The sequence below is a fragment of the Homo sapiens genome, chromosome 15 (genome assembly GCF_000001405.40).
Source record: "Homo sapiens chromosome 15, GRCh38.p14 Primary Assembly".
Lineage (NCBI taxonomy): Eukaryota > Metazoa > Chordata > Mammalia > Primates > Hominidae > Homo > Homo sapiens.
In genome coordinates this window covers 61,830,502-61,844,566 of record NC_000015.10, presented here as the reverse complement: position 1 = coordinate 61,844,566, position 14,065 = coordinate 61,830,502, and the positions used below count along the sequence as shown (strand labels likewise).

General features: G+C 44.4%; 1 long non-coding RNA gene across 1 annotated transcript in view, besides 2 other annotated features; it reads right to left on the bottom strand.

Moving 5' to 3' along the window:
- LOC124903501 (uncharacterized) overlaps nucleotides 1-9,872 on the bottom strand; it is a 44,799-nt gene extending 34,927 nt beyond the window's left edge. Inside the window, exon 1 of the long non-coding RNA XR_007064668.1 lies at nucleotides 9,790-9,872. This is a non-coding gene — a long non-coding RNA (uncharacterized LOC124903501). The remainder of the gene's footprint in view (nucleotides 1-9,789) is intronic.
- Nucleotides 12,224-13,088: an enhancer, noted in NCBI's record as "H3K27ac-H3K4me1 hESC enhancer chr15:62123678-62124542 (GRCh37/hg19 assembly coordinates)". NCBI's record gives its function as "activates a minimal SCP1, AML or CMV promoter by ChIP-STARR-seq in naive H9 embryonic stem cells {active_cell/tissue: H9 hESC(naive)}" and the evidence as "EXISTENCE:reporter gene assay evidence [ECO:0000049][PMID:30033119]".
- Nucleotides 13,089-13,954: an enhancer, noted in NCBI's record as "H3K27ac-H3K4me1 hESC enhancer chr15:62122812-62123677 (GRCh37/hg19 assembly coordinates)". NCBI's record gives its function as "activates a minimal SCP1, AML or CMV promoter by ChIP-STARR-seq in naive H9 embryonic stem cells {active_cell/tissue: H9 hESC(naive)}" and the evidence as "EXISTENCE:reporter gene assay evidence [ECO:0000049][PMID:30033119]".

Here is a 14,065-nt window from a genome sequence, read left to right as displayed (position 1 = left end):
AACAGTCAGACGATTTAAAACTGTTAGAATTACATTGCCAAGAAATTCAGATAAGAACTACCCAATAAAAATATTAAATATGTATGATTAAAAAGAAGAATTAAAGACAAGACACTATATAAAAAAGAAGAGGCAGATTTTGATAAGAACTAAGTAGATTTTTTAGAAATTCAATAATCATTAAAATAAAAAGTGAAGGCCGGGCACGGTGGCTCACACCTGTAATCCCAGCACTTTGGGAGGCTGAGGTGGGTGGATCATGAGGTCAAGAGATGGAGACCATCCTGGCCGACATGGTGAAACCCCATCTCTACTAAAAATACAAAAATTAGCCAGGTGTGGTGGTGTGCACCTGTAGTCCCAGCTACTCTGGAGGCTGAGGCAGGAGAATTGCTTGAACCTGGGAGGTGGAGGCTGCAGTGAGCCGAGATCGTGCCACTGCACTCCAGCCTGGGAGACAGAGTGAGACTCCATCTCAAAAAAAAAAAAAAAAAAAAAAAAAAAGCCAGTGGACAGCCACAAAGTACATTAGACATAGCTGAAGAAAGGATTAATGGACTAGAACAATAGAACTGATCAATACATTTCCTGGAACGCAGCACAGACAGAGATGGAAATATGAGAGAGAAGTTAAGTGACATGAAGGATAGATGAGTGTATCGAACGTACTCTAATTCAAGTCCTATAAGAATAGAGAAAATGGCTGACATGATTCAGAACGATATGATTTGATAGATGCAAGAAACAAAATGAACCCAGAACAGAATAAATACAAAACAAATTTAAACCTAAGAGACACTGGATTGAAACTATCGCATAGCAATCACCAAGAGAAAAACTGAAAAACAACTAAAAAGAACAGAGAGATTACTGACAAAGATCAACAATTAGACTGAGAGAAGAGTTCGTAACAATAGCATCCAGGGAACAACAGGATATTTACAAATTATTGAGAGAAAACAAGCTGTCTATATAGTTGTCTTTAATCAGCTAAATTATCATTCAAGAATGAGGGTTAAATAATCCTATTTTCATAAAAAAAAGAGAAACTTTTCCACTCTCAAATTCTTTCTTTAAAAACTACTGAGGGAAGTCCTTCAGGAAATAGAACTCAGAAAGAAGGAATTAAATATAGAAATGAATGGCAACAAAGAAATTGGTAAACCGTAGAGTTAAAATATAATTTAACAATTGCACACGAAGAAGTTTATCAAAACTTTGCAAGACATTTTTAAAGGAAATTATAAAATTATATTGAAATAAAGTTTAAATTTTCTTAAATATACAGCAAGTTATATAATGTTCATGAATGGCAAGACTCATTAAAAAGCAATCATATTCAAATTTATCTATAAATTCAATGCAATTTTAATCAACATCCTATTAATATTTTTCATGGACCTTGACAGGCTATTTCAAAAATTCATGTGGAAGACGAAAAGGCCAAGGATTATCAAATAACTTTAAGGAATAAGATCAAGTGTAGGATATATTTTGCCCTCCCAGATTTTAGAATTTACTAAAAAACTGTCATAAGTGAAACAACGTGATATTTTCAGAGAAATAGATTAGAAGATAAATGGAACAAAAGACAGTAATGACAGACCCATGAATATATGGAAACGCATAATAAGAATAGTAACTATGGCTTACATGGTTTCTGCTATGTAAGTTTTAGGCATTGTTCTAAGCACTTTACATATTCTAATTCATTTATCCTTAAAGGTGACATTAAATTTCAGTTAAGTATAGCAGTATTATTCATAATAGGCAAAAGGAAGAAACAACACATATGTATATTAAGATATAAGGGAATAAACAAATTGTGGTATATACATACAATTGGGTATTATTCAGCTATGAAAAGCAACAAAGTACTATATGCTATAAGATAGATGAACCTCCAGGACATTATGCTAAGTGGAAGAAGCCATAATCAAAAGTTCACATCTTATATGATTCCTTTTATATGAAACATCCAAAATAGGCAAACTATAGAGACAAAGAGCAGATTAGTGGTTGCTAGGGACTGGGAGAGAGGGAGCGATTCCTTAAAAGATACGGGGTGTTTGCATGTTCTCACTTATAAGTGGGAGCTGAACAATAAGAATACATGGACACGGAGGGGAACAACACACACTGGGGCCTGTTTGGGGAGGGTAGGAGTGGGGAGAACATTAGGGAAAAGAGCTAATGTGTGTTGGACTTAATACCGGAACTTAAAAAAAAAAAAAAAAAAAAGAAAGAAAATCAAGGCAATGATTACCATAAAAAAAAAGTTATGGGGTGTTCTTTTAGGATGAAAAAGTTGTGGAACTAGAGAGAGGTAGTGGTTGCACAGCATATGAATGCACTAAATACTGCTGAATTGTACATTTTTAAATAGTTACTTGTTAATGTGAATTTTATACCTCAATGAAAAAATTTGCAGTCAGCAAGGATAGACAAATATTGCTCAGGAAATTAATTTATTCATATGAGAAACAATTGGATTTCTGCCTCATACTACACACTAAAATAAATACCAGGTATATTAAAGACCTACATGCAAAGCAATTCTTTAAAATTTACAGAAAAGAATATAAGAGAATATTCTTATGCTCTTGAGAAGCTAGAACTTTCTACGAGAGAAAAGACCATTAAAAAGTTAAATGACAAGCCAAAAAGTTGGAGGGAATATTTGCAACCAATACGACAGCCAAATGGTTATTATTTGGAATATACGAAGACGTCCTTCAACTCAATATGAAAAAACAACTCAATAGAAAAATGGGCAAATGCTATGAACAGACAATTCACAGAACAGGAAAACTGGAAATGACTGATTGCCACGCAAAGTGAAACAGTGAGCTGCCCTGTTGCATCTGTCAGATTGGCACACAAAGGGAAGTTTGAGAACAGCTGATGTTTCACAGGATGCGGTGACACGCACACGGTAAAACCCTGCTGATGGGAAGGAGAATCACTTCGGAAACAAAGTTGGCAAGCCCTACCCCAGCTGAACACATGCATCCAAACACAGCAGTTCCACTGTTGACACCCAACCTAGGGAACTCTCATGCAGTCTAAGCCAAAAGAGAAATAAGCGTACGAGGATGTTCACCGCAACACTTTAAATAAAATAAAAAAATGTGGAAATGGTCCATCAGCAGCAGATTTTAAAACATGCAAAAGAATATGAAAATAGCAGCTGTAAGAAATGAAGTCGCAAATTTTGAGTGAAAAGAACAAGTTGCCAAAGGATATAGATCATGTAAATGTGAGCACATAATACATGAGGCATACATGAAAATTATACATGCCCACTCTAGAAAAATGATTATTTCTGGGATGAGAGGGTGAGAGAAGGAAAGGGGTAGGAGAAGGATGGGCTTTAGTTATAAATTTGGAGGCCAGGAGGGGTGGCTCATGCCTATAATCCCAGCACTTTGGGAGGCTGAGATGGGAGGACTACTCGAGGCCAGGAGATGGAGACCAGCCTGGGCAACACGGGAGAATCCATCTCTATGAAAAACACAAAAATCGGCCGGGCATGGTAGCACATGCCTGTAGTCGTAGCTACTCAGCAGGCTGAGGCAGGAAGATTGCTTGAACCTAGGAGTTCCAGCCTGCAGCCTGGATGACATAGCGACACCCTGGCTCAAAAAAAAAAAAAAAAAAAAAAGATTTTGTACACTTTCTGTACATGAAACTTTTTATATTTAAAACAAAGGAAGGAAAGGGAGGGAGGATGGGAGGAAGGGAGGAAGGGAACAGGGAGGGAGGGAGGGAGGGAGACAGAGAGGCCTCATTCATGGTCAGGACAGTGTTTGAAGAGCTTTGTCAGCACAGCCGGGTTGTTGGAACGTTTCTTCTCTTCCACAGCTGTGCCAATCCCAAAATGCAGAGAGGGCTTCTCTCACAGGCCAGAGCCCCAGAGATCTCTGAGGGACTGATCTTAAGGGAGGCCTCTCAGTGAGGGAGGAGGCTGTGAGAGGAAGAGAGCAGGTCCTGGAGTGACTCTGGGTCTTGGCAAAAGGCAAGGAGGGAAAAATGGGAAGAGAGGCGAGGGTCAAACGACCTAAGGAATTCCACCCTGGAGGCATCAGGTTAAAGGAAGCAAGATTCCACCCCATATGTGTCTGCACTCTTCCCGTCCCCCGCCCCAATGCCAGTGGAGGAACGGCAAAGGTAAGCGCGGTGGATGAGATGTCAACAACACTGAGGGGAGGAACGACTGCAATTGACTTAGCAAACCGGATAAAGCTGGAACCCAGAGGCTTTGATGGGGGACGCTGTCGACAATAGTAAGCATCTGAATGCTGCACACTCATAAAGAGAATCCCGAGTGTTGCATGAAACTGAAAACAAGGGGATTAACTCGAAGTCTTAAAATGAGCAAATTTAAGACATCCCCAGCCTTCCGCAGCCTGCTAATATCCCTTCTCCTGAATTGGCAGGAGATGGTGGGGGAAAGGGCTAAGTGTGGGATGGTGGCGGTGGGGGACCTGGGACGGCAATTGACCCTGGAGAAATTGACCCAGAGAGTTTCTGAGCTCTGGGACACAGGCCCTGTCCCAGAGGGACAGTTTGAGGAGTTTGAGGAGCTGCAGTTTGAGGAGCTGTTTGAGGAGCTGCACTGAGCATGGGGAGAAGCCCAGGAGAAATGAGTATTCTGATGAAGGAGGACCCAGTCGCCTTTTTCCTCACACTCTCCGCTCAGCCTGGCAGTCAGGCCAAGAAAACAAGACAAAAATATAGATTTGTTTTCTTTGGAGAAACTGATTCGCCTAAGACATTTTTGAGGTTTTGAGGTTTTGACATTAGAGATTGTGGACATTTGAGTCAACATTTTTGCCCCAATGCAGCGGCTGGTTAGATTCAGGTGTCTGATGGCCGCCGGAGCAATGGGGAACCAAGCACCCTCAGAGTGATAATGAACTTCAGAGACGAGGCCCCTCGTGTTACAGAGAGGCCAACTGAGTCCCAGGGAAGAAAGGGGTCTGCCCAGGAGAACACTGGAAAGAAGTCAGGCTTGAGACAGCTGCGTACAATGCAGGTATCTTTTCCTCTAAGATAGAAATGCTATAAAGTATAGTTTAAAAAAAAAGTACAATGGCAGACTATGTGGAAGGGGATTTCTAAGGCAATTCCATTCTATTACTTTCAGGTACAAATTGTTTCCATAACTTAAACTAGGTTATCAAAGTACGGTCTGGCCAGGGCTCTGGGGGACCTGCTTTAATGAATTAGAGAAAGTTGATTCATATCTCATATACCAAATGATTGTCAATTGCTTCTTCTAAGGTAATTGAGAATGCTTGAAAGGTAATTTAAGTGATGCTTTATACTATTAATTAGCTCTATCTAACTTTTATATTTCATTGATAGAGCAGAGGCCTCACTTGAATTACTTTGGCAATCCAAGCTACTAAGGTTTTCTGGGTAAGAAAATGTTTCTGGACATAGTGTGGCCTGACAGGAATCTGGTTCAGATTCAGTAAACTTCTGACCTTCTATGGACATTCATTTAGCATTTACAGCTGGCTGGCCCTACGCATCTCTTGTTTAGCCACTAATTACGCATTTTGATTGGAAATCTCCCTCTTCTAAGGCAGAACCCACTTGTCTGAAACACCCATGTCTGGGGGCTGATCTGATTAACTAACCAGGGCTTTGGACAGTTACCTTGTTGCTTCTAGAAACCTTTGCTTTTGATGCAACATCTCTGTCAAAACAAAGATAAACAGCGATAAAGTGACCTCCTAGGGAAACGTAAGCTCCCACCAATCTGTTCTTCGAGAACGCGCACCATGTCTTTCGTCCTTCTGGTGAGGAATTTAGGGAGTGCTTTTGCATAAAGAAGTTCCTCATGGCTTCCTCCAGAATAGCTCTTGTCTTCGTGGGGCTGGGAATCCCCGTGGGAGACCCAGCACAACACAACAAGGCCATGTTGGAGGGCTTGATTAATGACCTGCACAGACATATCTCTTGCCTCTTGCATTTGATTCCGCCTTTTGATTTTCCCTTCTGTTCCTCCAAGTTCCCTTTCTTAACCTGCCCCCTTTCCTTGTTCCCAGCTGCCAAGGAGGAGGGACTCCGAGCTCACCTCCAATGGCATCAAGCGAGGCCCACAGCATTGCTGCAATGTTTGCCTGGGTCACCCCACTCTGAGAATGTGACAGGTGGCTGGTCATTGTGGACAGAGAAGAGATATTTTTGTTTATCTTGAGGTAGCTGTTTTTTTCTGCCATGTGAGCACCCTGTGAGGCCTCAGCTCCACAGACATAAGAGAGGAATAGCAATTTTGTAGTGAGAAGGTCTGGGCAAGGGTCTCAGGGATGCCCTCACCTCTCTCAGTCTGTCTCCTTGATGCGAACTGAGTAGGTTGATTCTGAAAGCACTTCCAGTCCTTTAGTAGGTTGAGTAGTTTGAACTATGAGTAAAAAGCCCAAGTTGCAATAAGCTTAGAGTTTTTTTTTTTTTTTTAAAGGATACAGGTATGTTTGTCCTTGGTGAAATGCAGAAACCTTTCTAGGGATCCAACTTGTACCCTAGAATTTGCTAGCACAGATCCGTTAAAGAAGCATTTACTGTGTACCCACCATGAGCTAAACACTGCACTAGGCTGGGGACACAGAAGCAACAGTCTCTGCTTCTCTGGACCCTTTGGGCCTAGAGAATTCCAAGGTGAGAGAGAAATAATCACAATCAGGTCTAAATGAACTTGATAATTTCATTGCTCTTGAAACCTGGAAGATACAGTTTTCTTACTTTAATTATCTTGCGATAAACATATTAATATATATGTAATATATTAATATATACATTGTTATTAATCTGAACATACTTGAATTGTATGCTTCAGAATTAAATTATGAAACTCAGTCTCGTTAATGCAAAAGGAAAAATGGACAGGCATACTGACGGATTTAGTTACCTTTTATAAATGCTGAATTGGCTTCTTGAATTAAAATCATCATATATGTCTCTTGAAAAGATATTTACACTGACAGTTTATAAATGCTAATTAAATTCTTTACAGACCAAGCAGCCAGGTCCTTAGACTGGAGGCATTTAATTTTAGAAAAGGTGAAGTTTAAGATTAATCATTTGAAGTTCTTTTTTTTTTTTTTTTAACATTATTTATAATGTTTTGGTAAGTGCCAAAGTCTTACCAAAGAAGAACCAAAGTTGTCTTTGTGCAGTGAGTATCTATTTTATGTTTTCAAATCTGTTATTCAGAAGCTGTGATTTTGGTAAATTTGTGTTTTAAATCTTTCTGGGATTACGTACCACTGTTTTGTGCACAGTTTGATTTTGGTCTTCAAGTCTTCAAATGTTTTCATGTAATTTAGATTGGAGACACTGTTTAGAATCACATTTCTTTTCTAAAAACATCTTTGTATAAAAGCCTTTTGCTGAATACTTATACTACATTGTTTTCCTCTCTAGCGTTTACTTAATTTAACCTTTCTGTTTTGAAATTCTTTTTGTCTTAAATGTTTTTCATTTGATCAGCATCCTCTGGTTTAAGTAGTTTAGAAGTGGGTTATTCTTGCTTGTACTTACGGCACTTACACAGGCGGCAGTAAAGTGGACCAGTTAGACCATAGACTTTTCAATCAAACAGAGGGGAATCCTGTTCAGTCATTCTGCGTCTCTGTTTAGTTTTCTTAACAATATAATGGAAATAATACTACCCACTTCATGGAGGTGTTAGGAAAATTAAATGAGATCATGTGTGTAAAGTGTCTGGCATGGCGCTCAGTGCTCAGAGGAACCAAGTAAGAGATACTACATCCTAATGTTCTTTGATTTTATAAAATTTGATCCAACGTTCCTGTTAAATATCCACATTCAAATACTGTTATGATGTTTAATAGGTTTTATCAGTATCTAAAGCCACAGAAAAATTAATTGCAAAAAGTATATCATAAACATAATAATAACCCTTGTGTGGTGACATGTAAATGTAACTCCATTTACATGTCTTTTTTTTTTTTTTTAGTCAGAATCTCTCTCTGCTGCCCAGGCTGTAGTGCAGTGGCGCGATCCTGCCTCGCAGCAACCTCTGCCTCGCGGGTTCAAGCGATTCTCGTGCCTCAGCCTCCCGAGTAGAGCTGGGATTCATGCGCCACCACGCCCGGCTAATTTTTGTATTTTTAGTAGAGACGGGGTTTCACCATGTTGTCCAGGCTGTCTCGAACTCTTGACCTCAAGTAATCCGCTGGCCTTGGCCTCCCAAAGTGCTGGGATTACAGGCATAAGCCACTGCGCCTGGCTAAATATCAATTTTTTAATTTACAATGTTCACCATTTTTAAGTGTAGGCCCATCTCCGTGCATGCCCACAAAATAAGACTGTGTGCATCCGCTCGAAGCATTCTTGGAGTCTAGTTCGTTCAAATGGATGTGTGCTGCAGGATGGATTTGATATTTTAAAGAGACTAATAAAAAGACCAAATGCTTTGGAAATGAAGTGAGGCATTTTGAAAAAGAACAGCCACTATTTGTCTTGGTTTTCAGACCTCCTACTTGAAAGGGCTGTGCATGTATTTGATGCCCAAACTTGAAAGTTCCCTAAACCAGGAGAATCATGTGTGAAACACATCAAGGAGGCAGGCGGCCCAAACACCAAACTTCATTATTTTTCTTGGAGGTGGAGAGAGCTGCTGTTCAGAAAAATTTCCAAGGTTTCTGTGATTTGTTATGAACTGAAGGTCGTTCCCTAGACTGGATCATAGGAGGCACTGAAGCCTGCCTACCAGTCAACGTGGAAGCAGATGTCTGCTGGCAATCCTGAAGCAGGGGAAAGAAAATTCAGGAGAAAAATTCACTTGGCTTGCTTGGTGAGTTTCATTTTGCATCCCTCCAGGCTGTCTTTTTCTGATCTTCCACTAGAGGGCGCCCAGCCACCAGCTGTGCCCGTGCTCCAAGGAAGCCTCTCCCTTCTGATCCTGCCCTTTGGGCTCCGGTGTGGGGTCCCAGGAGAGAGTCCTGGCCAATCACAGACTCGGGAGGATTCCAGCTCCAACCCCGAAACAGGCTACCCCCCGACTTCCTGGACAGGGTGGCCACAGTGAGAGCCCTTCACTTCAGGAGTGGGATTTCAGAGACCGCAGTGAGGGTTTTTCATTTATGATCGTTTATGTCTCTTCCATTCAAAAGGGTGCTGCGAGGATGGGGTTCTGGGGCTATATTTCCTGAACCCCAGCTGTCAGACCCTGCAAAGCCCTGTGTCTTTGCTGGAACAATAGACTGGAATATTTGAAACCAGAACTCCAGAAAATCCAGGACAGATGGCTTCCGTGATCGGGGCAAGCTCTGTGTCACAGAGCCCCCGGGCCTCCCTGCCCTGGCCAGAGTAACTCCTGCACTGGCACTCTGTGGCTGAGGGGGGTTACTGTCGGCTCAAAATGCCAGTGAGCAGGTCACTGGTTCATGGTTTGTCGGTGGCCCGCTCTCAGCGTGCACTGTAACCCCCAAGTTGAGCAGGGGGGTGTGATATGTCTGGTCCACCTAACCGGCACCTACCCCATTCTGTTTCCTCCTAGCTCTGTGTTTAAGGACCTCGTTTTGTGCAACCTGCCCCTCTGTGAATGTCTTCTGACACCGTGGAACATTCGATGAGAATAACCCGGAGCCACATTCCCACCGCACTTTAAAAGCCTTACAGGGTGCTTTTGCACACGGGATGCCCCTACAACCGTAAGGCAGGGGCAGGAAGAATGACCCTCGCCCCTCACGTCACAGATCAGAACAGAAAGGCTCAGAGCAAGTAAGTCCTGCAATTAGGACTCGAACTCACATCAGATTCAGCAGGGGTTGCTCGTACTTCCTCAGGTCTTTGCAGCAGCAGGAATTTGGGTTTGACTTTAGAGAAAACCTTCTGAGCCCCTGACCTTCAAACACATGGGTGCGTTTTAGGAGATTGTGACGCTGCCTTCAGATACTCTTCATAAAACGGCAGCGACGTGTGTTCCCTGAATGGGTTGAAGGGCGTCCTTCCTTGAGGCAGGAGGATGAACTGGATAAACCTGGGGGTGATTTCTAACCACACTGTTTTGGAGAACAAAGCACCCAGAAATAGATGAATCGGTCCCTTTAAACAGAAGAACACTTGTGTACAATTGTATGGAAAGCAGGCAATTTCCAGTTCAGTTAAGAACTACTGTAGGGCCTTTGAAGAGGTGCTCCTAAAAGGTGCTATGATGGATTTAAAAATTGTGTGCGGCTTGTGAGCTCATTGTTCCAGAGCCCGGCCTCTGTCCCGCGGGAAGCGTGCAGTTCTCTCGCTGGCCACAGGGTGGCGGAGTGACTTAAGCTTCGTGCCTCTTTCAATCTCGGGACAGAAAGCTCAGCTTCTGCCAAAGTGAGCAAAATGGAGCATCCAAGAGTTTGTTTAGAGTGGTGTGGACTTCATGTTTGTGAAAACTCTAAATGTCAGTGCTGGGAGGTGGTGAGGAAAGGGGATACTGGATTCTGAAGTAGAGGGGGCTTTTCCAAGGAGCATTGAGTGGCCAAAGTCAAATCCACCCATAGGGCCAGGCATGGTGGCATGCGCCTGTAGTACTAGCACTCTGGGAGGCTGAGGCAGGAGGATCACTTAAGGACAGGAGGCTGAGGCTGCAGTGAGCCGAGTTCGCGCCACTGCACTCCAGCCTGGGTGACAGCGCAAGACCCTGTCTCTTAAAGCAAAGAAATGATCACGATGACCTCATTAGCTGGCAGATGCTGAGTGAGCTCTGTCCCTTGGAGGCTCACCTTTGGAAACTGCAAAACCACTGCCACTTCCCCCATCTCTATCTGAATTTCCTTTTATAGATTGTTGGTCCTCATTTTTTTGCTCTTTTTTTTTTTTAATAAAAGGAGTGGTTTAAGTGTTTGTATACATTTTGGAGGAAATAATGTCTGATGAGGCAATGGTTCATTATTGAACCCCATATTTGGATATATGTTTCTAATGTGCATGCTGTATTTAGGGTTATGGTGAGAGAAAAGATTTAAATTTGGGAATAGTTTGGACCTTCTTGGGTGTGCATGCGCTGCACGGGCACACACACACACACGCACAAAGACAACACAGCTAGACCTGAAGGAGTGTGTGAGCCATGGTTAGAGACACTGAGGACCTTACCAAGTTCCCGGGTTAGGTAGAAAGGGTAGGATCCAGGATAGATCCCACTGTTGCCCATGTAGAAGCTCTGGGCTCTCATCTCTTACACTTCTGCCTAAACCCTTGGCGCCGCCGTATAAAGACAGTAGAAGTTTAAATGGCATAGTGAGATTAGCAGAAGGAAGGTTGAATTGCAACATGGGTACAGTTTTGAAGCACATCTTGGGGGATAGAAAAGCCTGTAATATTTTTTGTAGAAGTAATTAATATTCACTTTCTCAAACTTGAGATCATAGACTTGTGTGGTATGTGTGTGCCTGCAAGTGTCTGCGTATGAGACACACACAAAAAACACACACCATGAAATTGCTGATAATGCTTCAGAACAGAGTGCCCATCTTTAAATTTTTTCTTCCTTCAATATTTGCTTTTTCATCGACATTGATGACATTCATTTATTAATCTTTCCTAGACATTTATAGATCACCTACTGTGTGCCAGGCAATTAAGATGAAACAGAGTCATGCTGATGTTTAGAAAAAGACAGATCCCTGGGAATCCATTCTTTTTTGATAGGGAAAAGCAGGGCTCTACATTTGGCTGAGAATGTGGCTCCAGGATAGGCAGGCTGGGTTTGAAACCCAGCCCAGGCTCTTCCTATTATTCAGCTTCCTCCTCCTAAAATACGGATAATAGTATTACCCACATCAACACATTGTCGTCAGAACTAAATGAACTAACATAATGGGCTCTCCACAGTACACCCAGAAAGAAATCAAGAAACATGTAGCTCAAGGAATATATTATTCCTCTTTCTTTATCAACCAAAGCGTTCCATAATCCTCTTCTAACAAATATCTATCACGTGCTCATAGACCAGTTACTGTAGGGAATAAAGATGAGCTGGACAGTTGTTTCTGCTCAGGGAGCTGGGAAGAGCTGGGAGACATGTCACTGTGGCCACCAGGGAAGGGGTAGGTGGTGACAAAGCTCAGAGGTGAACCTGTGGCTCTGGGTCTACGAAGATGAGGGAGACGTGGCTGTGGCCTCCGGCTCAGATCGGGCTGCCTGGCTGGGAGCACTGTTCACCTGAGATACAGCTCCTAGGTCTTTTTAGAAACTGCAATCCAATACCTGAAGGACGGCATGACCTTCAGAGACACAGAAGGACTGTGCCTCTGTCAAGAGGATTCTAGGGCATAGGGCAGTTGTCTTTAGAGCTGACCTGAGCCCTCATTTGTAGGAGCTCCCTGAGCTGTGGAGGCCTGTGTCATTCTTCGGGGCCTGGTGATTAAGACAGGTCCATGCTGGTGCCTAGGGGTGCAAAGGAGGCCTGCCCAGGTACTATCTGCTCATCGTAGCTGGGGCTTCCTGGAGCTGTGCCTTACCCCAGGTTCTTGCCGCTTGATTGATGAAGGTGTGTGGAGGGGAAACTGTATTTATTAATAGCTCCCCAAGCCTCGAGTTCCCTGGGGGAGGATGAGTGAACGCTGGACTCTCGGCAGAGGTGGGGCAGTGCCCCAGGGGAGGCTCTGAAAGACTGAAAGCCAAGACCACTAGGGATTGATGCTGCCCCGTGCCCCACCCCAGGGCCAGTGGACCTTGTGGGTCACACAGACAGGGGCTGCGCTCTGTTCGCAGTGCCCAGCTTGTGCCCTCCACAACGGGGCACCCTGTAAGCATCTGCTGGGAGAGAGATGGAGAGAGTGAGGGCGAGTGCCCACGCCTCCACCCTGGGAGAGGCAGTGTGATGCCGAGAAGAGGAGGAGCAGCGCAAGAAACCTGAGACCGTTCTCTGTTCCTTTGTTAGCCAGGCCACCCTGAGCAGATTAGTTTACCTCTCTGGGCCTTGATTGAGAAATCTGTAACGGAAGGAGGAAAACCACTGCTGCTGCCTCCCTTGCTGGGCTCTGCCAGTGTTAGTGGCTGCAGCTGGTGTGTCTGGGACCTGGTAGTGTGTGCAGACAGCCTGCTCCGTGGGCTCAGTCCAGTGCCAGCTCTGTCCAGTAGCTCCCAAGTCGTCCCTTTCCTGCCCCTGTCACCGAGCCTCTCCCCTCAGGTGAGGAGCAACTGGCAGTGTGGACAGATTATCCGTCCTCACCACGGGGCCATGACGTTACCTTTCAGGAATGAAGTCCACTTGGGTTTTGAAATCAGTGGGCTCTGACCTTGCAGGCCTTCTTCCTCAGTCTCCTATTCCCGGTGGGGCCCAGCGGCTGCCCCACACTGGGGTCCCTGTGGGGTGCCACACTTTCCTGACACCTTTCCCTTCACACAAACCACAGCTTCCTTAGTTTCCGCGAGGTGGCCATCTAGCTGGTTGGGCAACATAGGCAATGTGGGTGGAAATACCTCAGGGGTGTCCCTACCCCCACCACCTCCAAACCGAAGTGCACTCCCGCAGTGCCCCATGGCAGGGCCAAGAGGGCCACGACTCCTCCTGCTTCCTTGTGCTGCTCAAAGCTTTGCCTTGGCCTTGGCTGCCTGTGGTTCACTCTCAGTGTTCTCCATTGGAGCTCCAGGTGAGGACACTCACAGCGTCCCCTCCCCACAGTGTCCCCTCAGCCTGCGCTGGTGCCCACCTCCCTGCAGAGTCAGATGACACGGGGAGATGCCTCCTGTTCCAGGCCCTGGCTGGGGCCAGGGCTGCAGTGATGACTGAGATGTGGTCGCTGACTTCCTGGAGCTTCCAGGCTAATTGGGGCAGTCAGATGGGTTTTAGATCTAGGCCTCATTGGTTCTCTGGATCCCTTGGCTGAGTGACAGCAACCATCCCTGGCATTTCTCAAATCTGCAGATGCCTGGCTGCTCTTCATTCCCATCAACAAGTATTTATCAGGCACTTCCTGGGTTTTGGGTGCTGGGCTGGAGGCTCCTTGTGTCTGTCCTGCAGCATGTGAGAGGCTCTGCTGCTTCAGGACGGCTGGACTTGCATCTGCGGGATGCACCTGTCCACTTATTTCGATGC